General features: G+C 38.4%; 1 protein-coding gene across 15 annotated transcripts in view; it reads left to right on the top strand.

The window, feature by feature from the left end:
* ACTR3C (actin related protein 3C) overlaps window positions 1-22,130 on the top strand; it is a 442,186-nt gene that overhangs the window by 70,587 nt on the left and 349,469 nt on the right. For 2 of the 15 annotated variants that reach the window (NM_001164458.2, NM_001164459.2), the window contains exons 7-8: window positions 3,905-4,011; window positions 5,390-5,747. The exons of 5 other annotated variants lie outside the window; for them this stretch is intronic. In NM_001164458.2, coding sequence (NP_001157930.1) covers window positions 3,905-3,973 — 69 coding nt within the window. In that variant the 3' untranslated portion in view covers window positions 3,974-4,011; window positions 5,390-5,747. 8 more of the 15 variants (XR_007060141.1, XM_011516508.3, XM_011516507.3 and 5 more) reach the window with 8 other exon arrangements.

Below are 22,130 nucleotides of genomic sequence, written 5' to 3'. Positions count from 1 at the left end.
AGTTGTCATCTGCTTAAAGTTTGCTCTTATATAAATATCATCCACAATTGAGATAGCTGTTGGGCCCAGATATCACACAATATATCATATTAATAAAAACAATAAACACACAGGCATTATTTTACCTTAACGCCATTGAAAAGCAATTTAATTCGAGGATACATCCTATTCCCAGTATGTTATTTTTAATACAATTAGATGGTCAGAGAAGTTTTAATAGAAAGGTACTTCAAATAAAATATTAGTTCTGAAGATACTGGATATTGTTTTATGCAAAGCTTTTAAATCACAATAAAATAGTTATGACACAGCAATAACTTAGCAGTCTTTTCCCATTAGCTGTAAATTGCATCATATTACTCTAAAATGTTTCATATAGTATAAATCTACTCTTTATTTACTTTCCGTAATGTCTCTGGTATGCTTAGTATCATGTATTCTTCCTGAAATAAACAGCCCTTTCTCTGACCTGCCCTAATGCTTACCATTTTCAGCCTCTGCATCCTCCAAGCAGCCCCTTCATTAGACCACTTTAGTCTTTAGAGTATGGACAGGCCAGTAAGCTCCTGTAGCCCTTATTAGTTACAATATGATGTTCCTTATAAATTTGTTTGCAATGTATGCTGCATTAAATTGCACATTTTGGAGCCAGGGCAATGAATACTTTATATGTCCATGTTCTCCAAAGAACTTAAGAAAATGCTGATGAAAGTAAGAACTTCAGAAATACATGTTGATTAAGTCACCCATAGGAATTTTGGAGAATTAGTGTATGTATTTTCTTTCATTGCACACACACACACACACACATGCACACACACACACACACACACAGACACATACACAAACACACACGGAGGGATTAAAATTTTAAACCAAATTGAAATGTCGAAGTTAAAGCGCTTAAAAAGAGGTGGTGTCAATTCTCATTATTCATGGTAGCTGTGTTCTATGAAGTTGCTGGGAACAGAGCAAACGCTGGACTATGGTTTCTATGGAAAACACAGGGTTAGGTTTCTTAGAGCCTATGGTCATAGAAATTATAACCTTGCTTTATATTTATTTCTATTTTTAAAAATTAATATATATTGTTGATTCAAGTGATAATTGCTTCTCACTTATATGGAGAAAAGTCAGAAAAAGGATAATAAACAAAAACCTAATGGCTTTTATATCTTAGTAATATTGAGTATACACAGTAATTTTCTGTGTATGGAAGAAATTATTCCTCTAAGCTAGTGCTAATAAAATGATTCATTTGGAATTAATACAATCCTAAATCTAATTTAGCCTATACTTAAGAAAATGTACATTCTATTATCAATACATTCCCTATACCTATTTTCCTTATTATTTTAAAACTTGTCAGACACAAACCATCATCAATCTTTAGGTTTTTAGGCTTTTAATATCTAATATAGTATTGAATTCCTTGTGATATAGAGAAAATCTATAGCAACCATGTTTTAAAAGGGTTGAATATTGTTATAATTCTATAAAATGGGTAAAAGCATTTTTATTAAATTAAAAAAATCTTACTCTCTTTCAAATTTGATTTATCTCAAAATTAGCCTGTCTTCATTTTTTCCTAAAATAGGAAAAAAACGCAGTTAATTTTAGTTTTAAAGACATCATAAGTTTAAGAATAACTTATGAAAAATAACAACCAATAAAGTAATCAGAATTTAGTGTTGAACACGAGTAAGATATTGAGAATTAAATTTGGCAGGAGAGTTAGGGACAATAAACGACCATTGAATTAGAAATGAGAATATTTCCACTGTTGCTCTAGATCTGATGCTGATCTGGTCATGGTGGACAGGTCACACGTGTCACTGTTCATTCAGTAAATATTATCAAGTGACTACTATATGCCAGGTGCTATAGGGAGAATTGGGGTACACCAGCAAAAAATAGAGAGGCCCCTCATTCTTGTTTGCTGATGTTATAGATATTCCGTCCATATTTACATTTGTATGGTTCCATGAATAAAGTTGACACCTGCTCCCTAGGTGACCGCATCCAATCCCATCCTTTTAAGCACTCTCCACATAGTAACTACATCCAATTTTTTATCCCAAGTCTGTAGCTCTCTTCCGAAATCTAGGTTTACATATCCAGCTGCTTGGATGCTTAATCGGCATCTCAACCCTAGCCAGACTTCTGATCTTCCACCCCACTTGCTCTCCCGCAGTCTTCTTCACCTCAATTAGTGGCCACTGAAGCCAAACTTCCGGGAGCCATCCTAAAGATCCCTCTTTTCCACCATCAAGATTTCCTTTGGCTCTGTATTGAAACTACCATCCCCCAGAACCCACTGGCTTCTCCCCTCCACTCGCAATGGCCTTGTCTGGATTCCTGAAATAGCCTCCTAATCCGTCGTACTGCACCTGCCCTTAACCCTCACACTGAAATCTCAACACAGTAGCTAAGGTGATATTTTAAAAATTCAAGTCGGCCGGGCGCAGTGGCTCAAGCCTGTAATCCCAGCACTTTGGGAGGCCGAGGCGGGCGGATCACGAGGTCAGGAGGTCAAGACCATCCTGGCTAACACGGTGAAACCCCGTCTCTAGTAAAAATACAAAAAATTAGCCGGGTGTAGTGGCGGGCGCCTGTGGTCCCAGCTACTCGGGAGGCTGAGGCAGGAGAGTGGCGTGAACCCGGGAGGCAGAGCTTGCAGTGAGCCGAGATCGCGCCACTGCACTCCAGCCTGGGCGACAGAGCGAGACTCCGTCTCAAAAAAAAAAAAAAAAAAAGTCAGATTCTGTCATTTCTTGCTCATTTATTCTAATAACTAAATACCTACATTTAGAAAAACATCCAATCACTTTACAGTGGCCTCAATGTAACCAACAGCCCCACATAATCTACCCCATTTCCTCTGCGAAGCTCCAGCCACCCCTCATCCGCTCCAGGGCAGCCCTGCAGCTCCCTGGCCCCATTGCACATGCGACATGCAGAGCACTGCGAGTTCGGTGTCAATGGATCCACCATGTACCCTAACCCATCACAGTCCCCGGAAGTGAGGCCTTATCACGTGGAGTAAAGTGGAGGATCACCCTTCCTTTAGGTGTCTTTCCACTTCCCATCTTTTAAATATCCATGTCTCAGGTATTTCTTCTACATGCATTGAGCATCCCATCAGATGGCATAGTAACTTTTGCTTCAAACATCAAATATCGCTTTTAAAAACTCATGAGGTATGGCCAGGCACAGTGGCTCACACCTGTAATCCCAGCACAATGGGAGGCCGAGGCAGGCGGATCACCTGAGGTCAGGAGTTCGAGACGAGCCTGGCCAACATGGCGAAACCCCATCTCTACTAAAAACACAGAAAATTAGCTGGGTGTTGTGTCCGGCGCCTGTAATCCCAGCTACTTGGGAGGCTGAGACAGGAGAATGGCTTGAACCCAGGAGCCACAGGTTGCAGTGAGCCCAGATCGTGCCACTGCACTCCAGCCTGGGTGACAGAATGAGACTCCATCTCAAAAACAATAATAATAAAATAAATAAAAAACAAAAATAAAAAAATGCTTCCGTCAGCCCTTCTGTAAGGGTAGGTTTGTTATGCAACAAATTTCTCCTGTTTTCTTTTGTCTAGAAAACCTCTTTATTTCCCTTTCATTCTGGAAGGATAATTTCTGTGGGTATAGAAGTGGCAGGTGACTATTATTTTCTTTCAGCACTTGGAAAAGCACTTCATTCATTTCTGGTCTCCATGGTTTCAGATGAAAAATCTGCTACCATTTGAATTGGTGTTCTCCTTTAAGCAACATTTCATTTCTCCCTGGCTGCTTTAAACATTTTTCTGTTTTATCTTGGACTCCAAGTATACAAATGTGAGCTCTTTTGTTATTGACCCATGAGACTCTGCTGCCCTATAACTGTTTTCTCTGTTTTTCAGATGGAACAAATTCCACTGAGCTATCCTCAAGGTCACGGATTCCATCCTCTGTCACCTCCATTTCATTGAGATGATATATTGAGCCCATGCGTAGCCTTTTATTTGAGGTATTCTCATGATTTTCATTTTTAATTCTAGGCTCTACTTTTGCTGAAATTTTCTATTTTTTTCATTTGTTTCAAGAGAACCCATAATTGCTTATTGAAGCATTTTTATGACAATTATTCTAAAATTCTTTGCAGGTAATCCCAGCACCTGAGTCATCTTTATGTTGGAGTCTCAATCGACTCTTCATTCATTTGTGATTTTTCTGGTTCTTGCTATGATAAGTGGTTTTTTATTGTATTCTGGACATTTTGATAAGATTGTGAATCCTATTTACTTTTTTTTTTTTTGAGACGGAGTCTAGCTCTATCTCCAGGCTGGAGTGCAGTGGTGCGATCTCAGCTCACTGCAACCTCTGCCTCCTGGGTTCAATCGATTCTCCTGCCACAGCCTCCTGAGTAGCTGGGATTGCAAACATGCGCCACCACACCCAGCTCATTTTTGTATTTTTAGTAGAGATGGGGTTTCACCATGTTGGCCAGGATGTTCTCGATCTCCTGATCTCGTGATCTGCCCACCTCGGCCTCCCAAAGTGTTGGGATTACAGGTGCGAGCCACCGCACCCGGCCTACTCTTTTTTTTTTTTAATAGCCAGCTTCTCTGTTGAGATGTAGCACCAGGGCTGTGTATCTGTTCAGTCTCCTTTGGGCCCAGGGCCAGTACGGGAGGGAAGGGAGAGCAGAACGCGGACCACTCTACCTTGAGTTGCCTCATTCTGTATCATCGATGCCTGGTGGAAGTGGGCTTACTCTGCATCCTGCTGACACCGCAGAGAAACTGGAGCCCATGGCCTGCTTCCCTGGGACAGGAGCTAGGGTGGAAAATCAGCTTCCAGCTTGGCCCTGCTGAAACCCTGGCAGGGGCAGGTTCCATTGTAGTTTGGCTGGAATCGAGCAGGTATTGCCAACAGCATCGTCTATTGTTGGAGTACCTTTGCCCCAGATCCTGAGATGGGGTAATTTTTAAAGAAAAGAGGTTCAATTGGCTCACAAGCCTGAAGGCTGTACCAGCATGGTGCCCAGCTTCTGGGGAGGGCTCAGGGAGCTTTGACTCACAGAGGAAGGTGAAGTGGGAGCAGGCACTTCACATGGCAAAAGCAAGAACAAAAGAGTGGGAGGCAGTTGCCACACACTTCTACATGACCAGATCTCTTGTGAACTCAGAGCTCACTCATCACCCAAGAGATGGCCCACGCCATCCATGAGGAATGCACTCCCATGATATAAACACCCCCACCAGGCCCCGCCTCCAAGAGTGGAGATTACAGTTCAACACGAGATTTGGTGGGGGCATATCAAAACTACATTAACCTTAAATTATGAAGACGGTAAACTAAATAATCTGCTTTCTTTCCTTTCCTGTTTTGTGTCTGTTTTTCAGATTTCCAAGGCCAGCAATGTTCTCTTCCTCTCCCTTTTCTTTGTATAAAAATTCATTCTCAAGAAAAACTCTCATATCAATTGTTTACATGTCACTATGGCTAAGACACTAAAAGCCCTCTCCCTGCAAAACTGGTGGCAAAGCTCTCTAGAGAACCACAAACTGTTGCATCCTTACTACGTGGGGCAGCAGCAAGCCCAGGTGAAGATGTGCATGTTCTTGGAGAAAGTATTAATAACATACCGACACTTACATCTGGGTGAATAATTTCATCAAATCTCTTAACTCACGCTTGCACAAACTTCACCTGGAGAGAGAGAGGGAAAGCTGTGCCAGAAATAAATGGTTATTGAGGTCACTGTTTGTTTGTTTTTCTCAGGAGTGGAAGGAGATTAACCAGGGTGGCAATAAACAAAATTACTTGCTGTTTTAAAACTTAATGACAACCCTATAGGTTATTAGCAATGCCAAAGTTGCAGGGTGCGGTGGCTCACGCCTGTAATCCCAGCACTTTGGGAGGCCGAGGCGGGCAGATCATCTGAGGTCGGGAGTTCGAGACCAGCCTGACCAACATGGAGAAACCCCGTCTTTACTAAAAATACAAAAAAAATTAACCGGGTGTGGTGGTGCATACCTGTAACCCCAGCTACTCAAGAAGTGGAGGCGGGAGAATTGCTTGAACACAGGAGGCGGAGGTTGCGATGAGCCGAGATCACGCCATTGTACTCCAGCCTGGGCAGCAAGAGTGAAACTCAGTCTCAAAAAATACAAAACAAAACAAAACAAAAAGCCAAAGTGGAAAAGCAAAAATTTTGTGGTATTTGCATTCAATTATTATGCTTTAATTCAACCATTCACAATTTCTAGGGAACATTAACTTTATTGCAATCCCAGGTAAATTTAGGATAATTTAACAATAATCGTTGGTGTTCTACTCATCTACTTGTCTTTAAAATCCACATATATTTTTTAAAAGATGACATCCTTTAAAAATATTATATTCAGTGAATTTTCAATATTATTTTAAATATTATCATGGACAGTTGTTATTGGAAATGACAGTTCACCATTGCAAATCAATGCAGTGGCTACAAGTCCCCCGTGTCACACAAAAATAGACGGGGTAGCTCTGACAGCATGCATCCTTATGCCCTGTTCTATTAATGATGCACTGCACCCCATCAGGGTCTGCAGCTGTATCATTACTCACAGAGACGGTTCTGCCTTTGGCTTTCCCTGGTCCTCCATGGCTAGGAACATCATTTAACAGGGTTTTGTAGAATTCACTGGGTGGTTAGTCTTAGAAAACCCAAGGCAGAAACACACAGCCAACTATCCCCCAAGTGCTTGTGCTTGAACTTTCAGAACATAAGAAAATTGTGTTAAGCTGGATCTGCAAGTACAAATGGAGAGTGAAATGGGTTCTATAGAATCCAAATGACACAATCTTTCCTCCTGCTAAGAATTACTGGCTATTGAACCAATTCCTGCCTATTAACTGTGAGGTGAAGTCCAAGATCCACAGTCAAGCATTCAAAGATCCAACCTGATTTTTCTCTGCATAACTGTTTTACTAGGAGTAAGACTGACTTGCCTGGTTTACCAAGACAGGCTGTGAGAATTCTTCCCACTTACCTTTACTGAGTCAATGTGGACAGTTTGAAATAACTTGAACCATTCTTCTTACATTTTTAAATCCTACACAAGCCTCAAAACAAAATCCAAGTCACTTTTCCTCTGTGGGATCTTCACTGAGCCCCCCAGCAGGCATTCCTCTTGCTATCTCCTGTGCGAATAGCTCTGAAGGTCTGTATTGCAAATATGACAGTCAACACACCGGCTAAGGTAGAACAAAAAGTGGCATTATTAAGCTGAAAAAAGCCCGGACCAAAATGAAAGATTCTTATTGTGGGAGCAATTGCTCACACTCACCAATAGCTGCTTGTTTCCTTCTTGGGCACACAGAAATTACAATTCCCAACTTTCCTGCAGTTGGATAGAGCCATGTGAGTAATTCCAGCCTGGGGACTCTGACTAGAGATGAAAATCCCCTCCATGGTGGAGCAAAATCCCCTGAGTGGCCCTCCGGCCTTCTGTTCTCCAGCTGTGCTAACCTGGAAGCCACACATTGAGATGACAGAGCAGCAAAGTGGAGACAGGCCATGTCTCTGAGTCACCATGTGACCCACAGGAGATTTTGAGTAAATTAAAATACAAATCTTTGTCATAATAAACCACAGATATTTCAGCAATGATTTGCAACCATAGCGTAAGATAACCTATCATGGCTAATGCTCCTAGGTTCTCAACCTGTATCCACCAGTAACTAGGTAGCTTGGGCAAATTATCTTCTATGCAACCTCTGGTTGATAATGAATTCCTTTTATAAGTAAGAGAATGAGCTGGAACCCAAATGTGTACAGAGGAAATCTGAATGAAGTGGGAAGGGTAAGATGCAGAGTGAGTGGAGACTTCACTCATTGTTGAAAGAGGGCAGTTGCTACTCGGTTATTACTGATGCTTACATGAAGAAATCCAGTTTTAATATAACCACATCTTGCCATTTCTCAAGGGAAGTCATGTACTATCTGTGTGTCTGTCCTTCATATAGCTCCATCAATATTCTCCTCTTAAATCTTGGAGACTGTGCTGGATGTTTTCCAAATGTCTCTCCTGATCCAGCCTGCAGTCTTCTCTACCCTGGTTTGGGTATCTGGAGCCAGACCTGTATGTACTGCATCAGCAGGTTCTCTTCCCTTCGCTTTCTGCATGGTTTCCACCACCATGAGGTCCTGGTGGGAGATCAGAGGCTGGGAAGAGCAGAGGCTGGGAAGAGCAGAGGCAGGAGAGGCACTGCATAACTCCTCTCAGGCCGTCCTCTCTCTCTGGCTCTCTGTAGGTTTGGGCAACTGCTCCTTCCATCCATATATTCAGGCTGAGGTGTGGAAAAGGCTCCCAAATGGCATTAGCTCCAGAGTGATGCACCTTCCATATCCTTTTATTTTCATTATTTCTCCTCCTTTGAAGAAGTTGAGTATTTTTGCAAGAACATTGACTAACAGGAACTAATCAATTATTCTTAAATTTAAAAAATTGAATGAATCAAATGTTCAACAAAGGATACACACACAGACTGAATGACAACTAAGTTATTTTACAGTTCCACAAACCTAGAGAGATCTATCAATGAATGGGGTATTACATTCTAATATTTCTAAGACTATATTGAATATTGAATATTCAATATTCTAAGACTATATTGAATATTCAATATTCTAAGACTATATTGAATATTCAATATTCTAAGACTATATTGAATATTCAATATTCTAAGACTATATTGAATATTCAATATTCTAAGACTATATTGAATATTCAATATTCTAAGACTATATTGAATATTCAATATTCTAAGACTATATTGAATATTCAATATTCTAAGACTATATTGAATATTCAATATTCTAAGACTATATTGAATATTCAATATTCTAAGACTATACTGAATACTGAATGACTACATCACCTACAAGAATACAATGAGAGTACTAAACTAACACTCAGTACTAAACATTTGTCCTACACTCAGAGGTAGGCACCAGGTTCTGGTGTCAATGTATGATATGCCTGTCTCTAAATAAACATTTTATCAGATAACAGTCTTTGAAAGTCCCAGTGCAATAGTAAGTATAGTCTGGCCTGTGTATCCATGGGTTCTGAATTCGTGGATTCAAACAACCACAGATCAAACAATATTTTAAAAAACAAGTATGGTTGTATCTATACTGAATGTGTACAGACTTTTTTTGTATTTCCCTAAACAATCCGGCATAACAACTATTTCCATAGCATTTACATTGTATTATATATTATAGGTAATCTATGATGATTTAAAGTATATGGGAGGATTGTGTAGGTTATACATGAATACTACACCACTTTATAGAAGGAACTTGAGCATTTGTGGATTTCGGTATCTGCAGGAGGGTCCCGGAACTAATTCCCCATGGATACCAAGGGACAATGGTATATACACAAAGTTTTACACCTGATTATAAAAGTATGTGTATGATATTTAAAAGTAACTTCAATCTTTGCTCCATAACAAATGAGAATTAACCATAAGTTCCACCCAAAATAATATTTAGAAAACTATACACTAGATTACTCTTAGTTTTTGTGGCTGTGTACTACCGTTATCCTAAAATTTGATAAAATCATTTTAAATGCCTTTTAAAATATTTTTTACCTTGGAGATTACCACCAAGAAATGAAAAAGAATTCTGAACCAAATCAGAAGTTTGAGATTTGAAATCTGGCTTTGCTACTAACAAACCCTGTAAACTTAGAAAGTATAGTGCAATCAATTCACAATAGGCTTTAGAATAGGCCATATGAGTGAATTCTGATACCACGTTTACTAATCACGAAACTTGATCATAAAGCTATTGTGAGAAGTAATCAAGATAACACACACAAAGGGCTTAGCATGGTACAGAGCACACAGTAAATGTAATAACTCTCATACAGTAAGTGTTAACTATTATTAAGAATTTTAAAAATAATTTGTAATGCAAGTGTCACTGTCAAGTTGCACAGGACCCAGAAAGAGGATAAGAACATATTTACAGCTTTTCTTTTATTATTTTCTAAAAGATCAAATAAATTCTTGCTGAAAAAACTAAAGGCAGAGGGAGGCAATAAGCAGTATTTGGAATGAAAACAAAACAAAAAGGTATTTCCTCTTCACAGATTTCTCAAATTCCAAATCCCCTCCCTACCACCACCACTGCTGATACTCCTTCCCTCCACAAAAGGAAATCACTCTTTAGGCTTAGGAAAAGACTGGCAAAAAGTATCTTGGAATTTTCACAAATGTGTATCCACAACACACATACATACTCCTTTTCTAAATACATCAGATCATACTACACATCTTTTTCTGTGTCTTGGACTTAACCACTCAAACTATTATAGGTATCATTCGATGCCAGTAGCTGGAGTTCTACCTCATTTCTAATTCATTTTATTGTAGTGTAATTTACATACAATAGAATGCACATATTTTAGTTATAGGTTTTGATGCAATTTTATACATGTTTAGGCCTGAGTAGCCTACCTTGATCAAGATGTAGATTTTCCCAACTCCGAAAAGCTCCCTGTGCCCCTTTGCAGACAGTCTGGCCTGCCCCATGCTCAGCAGTGACTGACCTGCTTTTTCTACTGTAGATTGTACAGTTCATGCAAATGGAACAATACAGTGGTGTCCTCTGTTGCCCTCTGTTTTTCAGTCAATGAGTAGTACTTCCATTTATGAATATATTCTTCCCCCACCCTCACATTTTTTTTTTTTTGAGACAAGTTCTCACTGTGTCGCCCAGGCTGGAGTGCAGTGGTGCGATCTCGTCTCACTGCAGCCTCCACCTCCCAGGGTCAAGCGATTCTCCTGCCTCAGCCTCCTGAGTAGCTGGGATTACAGGTGCTTGCCACCACACCAGGCTAATTTTTGTATTTTTAATAGAGACTGGGTTTCACCATGTTGGTCAGGCTGGTTTTGAACTCCTGACCTTGTGATCCGCCCGCTTCGGCCTCCCAAAGTGCTGGGATTACAGGTGTGAGCCACCGCGCCTGGCCACAAAGTGGTATCTTAATACAGTTTTAATTCTCATTGTTCTGATGGCTAATAATGTTGATCATTGTCTTATGTGCTCATTTGCCATTCATATATTTTCATTTGTAAAGTGTCTGCTGAGTCCTCTGACCATTTTCTATTGATAGCTTGTCTTTTGATTATTTAGTTATAAGACTTCTTTATAAATCTTGGGCAGACATATGTATTGGGAATATCTGGTTGCAATCTGTACCTAGCCTTTCCATTTTTTCAATACTGTCTTCTTGAAGAGCAGACTATTTTAAGTTTGATGAAGTTCAATTTTGCATTTTTTCTTTTATAGTTAATACCACTGTCTTCTGTTTTAAATTTTTTGCCGGTCTCATGTTTGCAAAGTTATTCTTCTAGAAATTTTATGGTTTTGTTTAAGCCCATGATCTATTTCTAATGAAATTTTGTATATGATCTATTTTATGAATGAAGGCTTAGTGTTTTCTTCATGTGGATATCGAGTTGTCCCAGCAAATTTGTTATATGCTTTCCTTTCCTCATGGACTAGCTCTCGTGTCTCTGTTGAAAATCAATTGATGACGACAAATCTCTTGAAAATGAGTTGATGATATATGTGTGAGTCAAATTTACCCCATCAATCTCTTTTTCTCTTCCTACACCAATACCACAGGGCCTTTATTCCTATGGCTTTATAGTAAATCTTGGAATCAGATAGTATAAGTCCTTAAACTTTATACTTTTTCAAAATCATTTTGTATTTTATATGTTCTTTGCATTTCCAGATAAATTTTATGTTCAGGTATCAATTTATATGACAATTTATATGGCAAATAATGAATATCATACAGTATTGAGTTTTCTGATTCATAAACTGTATCTCTCCATTTAATTAGCTTTCTTTAATTTCTCTCAGTAATATTTTGCTATTTTTCATGTAGCAGATTTGCACAACTTTTACTAAATTTATTACTAATAGTTTTATGCTATTTTGATGCTTTTGTATGTGGTACTTTTAAATTTTTTATTTTCAACTTTTCATTGCTAGCGTATAGATAAAAATTGATTTTTGTGTATTGATGATGCTCAGTTCATCATCAATTATTAGATCTGGTCCTTTATTTGTAAACCCCGTAGTGTTTTCTTCATGTCATATCTTCTGCAAATAACAACAGTGTTACTTCGTTTATATCTTTTTGTCTTTTAATTATTTTGCTTGCTTTAGTGTCCTGGCTAGGACATCTAGCATCACGTTAAGTAGAAATAGTGATAGCCAATAAGGCTTTTTTGTTGTTGTTTATCTGTTAATTTTTTTATACCCATATCACATTTCCACTCTTTTCCCACCTCTATAGATAATTTTTTCTTTTTTTAAAAAAAGTTGTAGGATACATGTGCAGAATGTGTAGGTTTGTTACATAGGTATACATGTGCCGTGGTGGTTTGCTGCACCCATCAACCTGTCATCTAGGTTTTAAGCCCTACAAGCATTAGGTATTTGTCCCAATGCTGTCCCGGTAAAGAATATTTAGGTTGTTTCCAACTTCCAACTTCTCATCAGCATTACAAGCAATGCTGTAATGAGCATTCTTGTAGACTTCAAATGAGGATATTTCCAATTAGAAAGACGAGGTTTCCATTTGGTATCATTAAAAAGCTCGGGAACAAGATAGCAGTGATGTTTACACAACATTGTGAGTGCACTTAACACTACTGAATTCTACACTTTAAAATGGTATTTTGCATGTCATGTATGTTTAACATGACAAGAAAGATAACTCATATGCTAAATGTGTGAAAATAATTTTTTCTCTTAAGTAGTTCAGTTTTGTTTACATTATTGATTTGCTTAGTCAAACTCATCCTCATAGAGAATACAAAAGTAATCTTGCCCAGGCCAGGCATGGTGGCTCATGCCTATAATCCCAACACTTTGGGAGGCTGAGGTGGGTGGATCACCTGAGCTTAGGAGTTTGAGACCAGCCTGGCCAACATGGCAAAAACCCATCTCTAATAAAAATTCAAAAAAAATTAACCAGGTGTGGTGGTGCCTGCCTGTGGTCTCAGCTACTCAGGAGGCTGAGGTGGGAGGATCACTTGAGCCTGGGAAATGGAGGTTGCATTGAGCTGGGATCACACCACTGCACTCCAATCTGGGTGACAGAGTGAGACCCTGTTTCAAAAAACAGAAAGTAAACCAGCCCAGATTTTTGCTAAATTCATAAGGTTCTACTAATGAAGCTGTAGAATGTAATTGAAGAATCATTAAGGAGACTGAGTCTAGCCAGTTCCACCCATGTCAATAAAAAGAGCCTCAATGACTTTTTTCAAACTGTAATAACTCATTTATTTTTCTTTATATATTTATATATCAAACTATAATAAATTATATATATATATATATATATAGAGAGAGAGAGAGAGAGAGAGAGAGAGAGAGAGCGAGCAACTTTTATGTTTCTGCATTGAAATATTTTAGTGCTTCAATGTGTGGAGTGGAAAATTGCCTTCAGAGAAACAGGCTCTAAATTTGAAGAGTCACATTTGACCTATATTTTGTATAGGTGTGATGGTGTGTATATTGACCATCAATATCATACTTTGACACAAATTCCTGAGGAATTAGTGCATTCGAGTCAGTAGAGCTGTCTGTGCTAAAGTGTGCAGGTCTCACTGAGGAACTGAGAACGCATCTGAGTTTCAAAGAAAGAGGTGTTTGAATACATTTGAGTTTTCAAAGAAAAGAGTGTTTGCCAGAATGGATGAAGGAGGTTGCTCCAAATGTGGGAAGCAGCCAGCGTGCCTGAAACAGAATCAGGGAAAGAAAAGTGTGTGGGGCAGTCAGAAGGAATATATGGTTAGTATATATAAGGGACATACAGCGATGGTGGATGAAAACAAACCAGTAAGGAAAAAACAAGTGGAATATTGATGTCAGTTTGCTGAATTCAATCAGCATAATTTTAACATTTAATTAATATAGTAAGACCTAGACAATGAATGGACTTTGTCATATGAATGTTATAGAGTTTTAGAAATAACATTTGGTACATCGAATTAACTTACACAATCAATTCAAAAAGCACATGCATATCTTCAGGAGTGCCATATAATCAGACAAATACAACTTAATTAAGATTTGTGATTTTATTAGTCAAAGAAAAAAACATTAGGGAAGGATTCACCTAATCCTAATTGCATGGTTTATTTAGAGTAGGTAAATGGAACAGATCTTTATTTTCCAAAATTTCCTAGTATGAAATCCACTCTGCAAATGTCATAACAATCCATGACTTTACCAGAGAGTAGCTGAAATAGTGGTACATACTGGCTGATAAAATTAGATACTGGATTAAAATAGATATTTTTATTAATAAAATCCTAATTCCCTTAACAATGTTATTCATAGTAGCCTCTAAGTACATTTTGAAAATAGTTGTGTATAGGTGAATTAACTACTTTACATATCCAGAATCTAGACTCTTGTAACCTATTGCAAGGAATCTACAAATTCATAGCTCTTGTACTCCTGGGATTTACAACCTACTGGTGTAAAAATCCTGCTGTAAGAGAGGTGCATATTCAAACAATTTTGTATTAATTGTTTGGAATGATTGCTTTGATAGGTAGGTCATCAATCTACAATACTTATGCTCACAATAATTATCCGAAGTTATCTCCTACTGCTGCCTGGATCTCAACTGAGAGATAAACTAATTTCTCTTCATTCTTTATATGAAACATGAGTATGCTGAGCTATATCTCATCTGAGGCCCCTTCTAGTTCTAATTATTATATAATTTTATGCAGTGAAAAGTTAAACTAAAGTTATGGTTGTTAGCGTATGTCTCATAATATGCCTTGATTCAGGGTTCTTCCTAGAAATAACCTCTAAATCAAGGATTATCACATTCAAGAAGTTCAGTGGGAAGGTGAGGCCAAGAACACTATGCGGGGAGTGGGAATTAAAATGTATTAGTCCTTGTTCTTCAAGAAACAGACACCATGTTGGGAATAAACATGAAAGGACTTGATTAGGGAAAATAACCTGCGTGGGAAAAAAAAACAGAGTGCCTGGGATGTTAGCAGATTAAAACTTTAAGTCTGCTCCCAGTGGAAGGAAATATGCTTGGGTGACTTCTAGGGTATGAAAAAGTTCTTCAGGAAGTCCTTGAACCAGAGCTGGCTACCAGCAAGGTCCCACACCTGCCAGGGCGAGGCCTGCGCTAGTATCCCTGCCATACTCCCGTTATTGGCTAGGAGTAGGAAGGTGTGATTGCACGCAAATGCTGCCGTGGATTCCAAAGCACAGCAGCAGAGGCCTTCATTGTTCCTCTCTAGGTACTTGGAGTTCTTCCAGGGCGTTACCGTGACCACCCTATGAGATATGGAAGGTAAGGGAAGCCAATACAGGGTGTGCTGTTAGTCAAGTGACCAGTGTGGGCCCTGGGAAATCAGAAAGACAGGGTGGGACATGTGCCTCAAAGTTATCCTATCTTAGGGTTGAGGGCTGGGGTATTTATCTGCCAAGTCCCACTGGTGAGTTCTCTAGGGCTGTGGGTGGGGACAAAAATTCCATGAAACCCCCAGGCTGCCATACACCCAGACAGGCTGCAGCAAAAGCCCTCAGGCAGCCAACGTAGGTGCTTGCAATTGAAAGTCAGGCTGGTGGGCACAGATACAGCCAGTGCCAAGAGGATATGGGCAGGGCCCCAACAGAGTCTGCTGCAATGCATGGGAAAGACGGTGGCAATGTCAATGGAGGTCCATATGGTCCCTCTCCGCAGTTCTTCCTCCAGCATCAATGCCATTTGGAATAATCTTCCAAAGACAGAGCACAGTCAGGATTAGTTATGTGTAGATGTTTTAACAGTAAAAATACTATGGGCTTCACCTACCCCTGGCTGTTGACTTTTTCAAAGTAGTGCAGAAACCTTAGGACAGCCTCCTGCCAAAGAGTTACATTTATTCCTATCACTGCCCACTGCAAGGCTTTAATAGCCCTTTTCTCTTTCTTTATGAGATGCATTGAAAAGACTATCTAAAAGCTAAATAATTAGGAAAGAATATCAACAGGAAAGACCTAATAGACTGGAAGGTAGGAAACAAAGCACAGGATGATTAAATTTTTAAAACACAGCAGAGCTAGCATTCCAATAAGCCCTAGGAAGCCTACGGAGCTTTCACGGGGTACACTCCAGGGGCAGATAGTGGGTATGATGGTATAGGTCTCCACAGAAGAAGATATGTAGAACAGTCTTCTGATTGGTGGGAATTGTTTGCCAAAGGCAATTTTGAACTATTTCACAGCTAGCCTGGGGTTATGTAATCACTGGTCTTTCATCATGGCAGAAAGTGCCAAAGCAACCAAAATTCCAAGTTCAACTGGATTTACTTGCATTTACTTACTTTACATGATGTGCCTACAAATATACTACGATCAATCATAGGTCCTAGGAATGTAGAGCTTTTGCAGTGTGTATCTAGAGTTACTGGCAATTGGTTCATGATATTATTGGGTTCAGGGCATTCCAGAATTGCCCTAGATGCCAAGGTGTCAATTATGTACTTGGTATGAGTGTTGGGCAGAAACATCACCTCTATTGAAAGCTCAAAATGCATTCAGAAAATATTGATGAATGCTAATACTAACTTAATTGTGGAAGTGTTAGGTGTTCATCATAGGAAAACCTTCATTACCATGGATACTTTTCTCTCAGTCCTGCCTCTAGATTGATGAGAAAGAATGATCTACAATAAATTCAATTCGTGCTTCTCCCAGATACAGGGTTAAATGTGAGACAGCAACATTTTAGTTGCATTAAAAATGTCCCTGGTTATTGCTTCGGCCTCCCTCTGCTGTAAAGGCTGGATATGAGTTTGCATAGCAAGTAGCTAAACTTAAACTTTCCCACTCTTCTGAAAGATGGTAGAAAGTTTAACCAGTAAAAATATAATGCACAAAAGGTAAGTTCATTTTTAGTGTCTTGCAGCCTGCTTAGTTGGTGTAAAGAATGGACTACTGAAAGATAGTAAAAGCACCGAACTTAAAATTTTACTATCAGAAACATGAAATTGTCACCGAAATTTTATTTAAAAACTCACAGAATTGTTGGCATAACAGTGACTTACAGCTTATTCATCAGAGCAAGTTAGTAGAAACCCAAATGCTATTCTCAGATATCCATTCTTTTCTCAGATATTGACTTGCGTGTTTTTACATTCCTAATGAAATTGTTTAAAAGCAACATATGTAGTTGTCAAGCAAGCTAAATTGGTAGCCGAATGAACCCAACGACGTGAGGCTGCATTACATTTTGTAAATCCTAAGTCATATTCAACTTGTTCTATATACTGATTTCCTTATTCCTGTTAGGAAAGGAAGTTGAAAGTTTAGACTTGTCCAGATTTCAGCTTTGAGGATTCCTCTATCACATGAGGCTTGGGGTGGTCTGCGTTTGTTTCAGCTTAAGAGCCATAGCAAAGATGCTTCGGGGTGTTGAAAGCAACAGCTACATTGCAGAGAAGCAAGGACAGAACTCGCAGGTGTCCAGAAGGAGAGTGAGCTGTGGGAGAGAGTCTGGGAATGGGCAGCGATGGAGGAAAAGAGAAATGTTGAGGACCCCTCACCTCCCTTGTACTTTGTTTCTTCAAGCCTAACGTTGTGTAATCTATTGTGTTGTCTTGCTTATCCAGGACGAAAAATGGATCTCTAATGAATACAATCATATCTGTAAGCTACAGATTTTACCATCAAAAATATGATTTATTAGTAAAGCTGGCCACATGGCACTGAATTTACTGGCCTTTGTATTAATCATATAAAATAGTGATGGGAGTTATAGTAGGCTGATTCTGAGATGGCTCCCTGTGATCTCATTGGAAGAGAGATGTTTATTATGATATGACAAAAGCCTAGTGCTAATGTGGTCTGCAGTTATGCTGAAAACAGAAGATATACCTGATAGACTTGGCTACATGGCTAAGGAGATTTCTGGGCAGTGGGGAAGACACTATTTTTCTCTTGCTGCTTATAGCATGATAGAAGAGCCATAAAGTGAGGGAAGAATAAAACAGGAGAGCATAAGGTCAAAAAAAGGTACATTAAGAGACATCTGGCTTTAACTCCAATGTGTAAAGTTCTTAAAAGTCATTGCTTCCACTCTTACCACAAGAAGAACCTGAGTGAACTGAAAATCAGTGACAATTCGTGTATCCAAATGAGAATGAAGTTCCTACAGCAAACAGCCACCCAGAAATCTGCAAAGATAGATGAATTAGGGGAGTCACAGCTGAGATCTGTTTACCCGGTGCAGAAACCACTAGAAACAAACTCTTGGTAGCACTTCAGTGGTAATGCTGATGATTTTCCGGAGCGCTAGTGTGGAGTTGCGTGAGAGTGATAAACTCCTGGGGTCACACTCTTGGAATCCCACACAGTTGTGGATTTTACCTCCAGAAGCCCCACCAAGCTCTCACAGTAAAGAGTTGAGAAAATGCCATCATGGTCATGTGGGGCGCATGGAAGAGAAGTTATTGTGAAATATACCCAGAATATTCTCCATAACAAAGACCTACCCTCCAGTGAGGGATAAAACCTTTAGCAGAGACTTATCCCACTTGAGGTAAGGTCACTTTTCACACTCTGGGCACCAATATCCTTCCTGTTCCTTGTAAGGGGAGAAGCAAAGCTAAGAAATGCTTGTAAGGGACATGGACCCCCTAAAAGACTGTGATGTAATCATAAGAGTATAGAATACTTCCCCTATGCCAACCTTCTCACCACACTAACAGGGCTCCAATGTAACTGTGGATTACACCTAAAAGAGCCAGAAAACACAGACTCTCTGTGGAGGAGTATATAAGGATGCCCAAAGTCAAGAGTGGAGACAAAATAAGGATACTAGAGGAATTTGAAGCCACCGCTACCTACATCTACAGCAAACATTATATATAGCTTGATTCTCAGCCAGATTAATAATAACAACAAAAAATGCTCACTAAAGGCCTGTTTGCCTCACTGATTACTCTTCAATATATTATGTATGGGTTTTAATGGAAAATTTTAAGGTATGAAAAAAAGCAAGAAAAAACAAGTCAGAAAGACAAAGCAAGCATCAGAACCAGACTCAGATTTGACACAAATTTGGAAATTATCAGATAGAGAATTTAAAATAACTGTTTTAGATTTTAAAGACTCTAATGGAGGAAACAGTCAACATGCAAAAATAGATGTGTAATGTAAGAAGAGTGATGGAAACTCTAGGAAACAATCAAAAGGAAATGCTAGAAATAATAAAAATCACTGACATAAATAAAGAATGTCTTCAATAGGTTCATCAACAGAACAAGTTTGAGGAAAGAATGAGTAAGCTTGAAGATAAGTCAACAGAAATAATTTCGAAAGTATAATATACATCTATTTGGAATACCAGAAGGAGAAGAACAAGAACAAGAAACTAAAGAAATATTTGAAGTAACACTGTCAGAGGATTTTCCCAAATTAACCACAGCAAATCACAAGTCAAGAAGTAGAGAACAGTAAACAGGAGAAATACCAAAACAATTATACACAAACTTCAGAAAACCAAAGACAAAAAGAAAATCTTCAAAGGAGTCAGAGAAAAAGTAACCTGACTTACAGCAAAACAGGACAAGAATTAAATTAGACTTCCCATCAGAAACACAGAAGCAAGAAGACTGGAGTGAAGTATTTAAATGCTAAAATAAAGAAAAAAAATACAAACTTGAGAAATAAAGACTTCCTCAGACAAATGCTGAGGGAAATAATCACCATCAGACCTTCCCTGTAAGAAAATATTAAAAGAAGTTCCTCACGGAAAAGGAAGGTGATAAAGTTCAGAAACTCAAATCTGCGTAACAAAGGAAGAGTGCCAAAGAAGGAATAAATAAAGGTAAAAGAAAATCTTTTTTTCTTTTCTTATTCTTAATTGATCTAAAAATAACTATTTAAAGTAATAATACGATGATGGTATCATATGATTAGTGAAGTGAATGACAGCAATGATGGTGGCATAGTGTCATTTAAAGGTGGAGTTAGATTACTTAAAATGTATGTTGGAAACTCAGGCTACCATTAAAATATTTTTATTTTTATATTTTTTTTGAGTTGCAGTCTCACTCTGTCACCCAGGCTGGAGTGCAGTGATATGATCATGGCTCACTGCAAGCTCCTCCTCCTGGGTTCAAGTGATTCTCCTGCCTCAGCCTCCCATGTAGCTGGGATTACAGGCATCTGCCATCATGCCTGGCTAATTTTTGTATTTTTATAGAGATGGGGTTTCACCATGTTGGCTAGGCTGGCCTTGAACTCCTGACCTCAGGTGATCTGCCTGCCTCAGCCTCCCAAAGTGCTGGGATTATAGGCATGAGTCACTGTGCCTGGCCTTAAAATATTTTTAAAATATGTATAATTAATATGCTAAAAAAGAAGATAAAATTGTGCAAAATGTCCTACTAAAATCAGAAAAGGCAGAAAAGTAGGAAAAGTAAAAAATAAAGAACAAATATAGCAAATAGAAAACAGTTTAAATATGGTGGATATTAACCTAATAATATCAATAGTCATTTTAAATCTAAACGGTGTAAAGAAGCCAATTTGAAGACAAAGGTGTTCATAGTGGTAAAAAAAATCCAACTATATTTAATCTACAGGAAACTCATTGGAAATATAGAGACATAGGTCAAAAGTAAAGGTTTTAAGAAATATAAATCTTGTTAACACTAATTTTTAAAATTGCATAGAACTTTATTAGTTGTGAACAAAGAAGATAGCAGAGCAAGAAAAATTATAAGGGAAAAGAGGTGCATTACATAACGATAAAGGGATCAATTCTCAAAAAAGACAACAATCTTAAACATTTATTCACCTAACAACAGAGCAAAAACACCTAAAAATGATGCAAAAGCTGATGGAACTAAAGGGAGAAATATACAAATTCACTATTGCAGTTGGAGACTTCAAACTTCTTTTTTAGTAATTCATAGCTCAGCAGGTAGAAAATCAGTGAATACAGTTGACTTGAGGAACACTATCAATCAATATGATATAATTGACATTTATATAATAAAATACTACCTACAAACAGCATAACATATGTTCTTCCCAAGCTTCTATAGAACATACAGCAAGATAGGTCACATTCTGGGCCATAAAACACACAGGAACAAATGTAGAACAATAAAAATTATAGGAAATATATTATCAGGTCACAGTGGAATTAAACTAGAAATCGGGAACAGAAAAGTAGCTAGACAATCCCAAATATTTGGAGATTGTCTTAACTGGTTTAGTGTAGCTATAAAAGAATACATGAAGCTGGATAATTTATGAAGAAAAGAGGTTTATTTGGCTCACAGTTCTATAGGCTATACGAGATGCATCATGCCACCATTTTCCTGGAGCCCTTCAGGAAGCTTCCACTCATGGCAGAAGGTGAAGGGCAGCCAGCATGTTCAGTGATCACGTGGTGAGAGGGAAGGCAAGAGAGAGAAGAGGGAGGGGTCAGGCTCTATTTAACAACCAGCTTTTGTGGGAACCAATGGAGTGAGAATGTGCTCATCCACCCACCAAGGGAGGGCATTACTCTATTCAGGAGAGATCCACCTCCAAGACCCAAATGCCTCCCATGAAGCCCCATCTCCAACACTGGGATCAAATTTGAACATGAGATTTTGAGGCGACAATCATTTAACCTATAGCAGAGATTAAATAACACAATTCTAAATATCGCACGATCTAAATAAGTAGGCTCAAGAGAAATATAAAATATTTTGAATTAAAGAAAAATGAAAATGCAATTTATCAAAATTTGTAGGATGCAATGAAAGCAGTGCTTAGACAGAAATTAATAGTATTACTGAATATATAAGAGAAGAAGATCCAAAATTGATCATCTGAAGTTATAGAAGAAAAGCATAAAAAAATTAGAGCAGAAATTGATAATATCTAAAACAGGAAAACAATTGAGAATATCAAAGAAATGAAATGCTGTTCTTTAAAAAAATCAATAAAATTGATTGATAAATCTCTAGTTAAGGTAACCAAGAAAAAAATAAATGTACTACAAATTGACAATATCAGAAATGAAAACAGGGTCA

Source organism: Homo sapiens, chromosome 7 (genome assembly GCF_000001405.40).
Source record: "Homo sapiens chromosome 7, GRCh38.p14 Primary Assembly".
Lineage (NCBI taxonomy): Eukaryota > Metazoa > Chordata > Mammalia > Primates > Hominidae > Homo > Homo sapiens.
The sequence above is the reverse complement of the archived record's forward strand: the minus strand, read 5'-3'. Positions and strand labels throughout refer to the sequence as shown.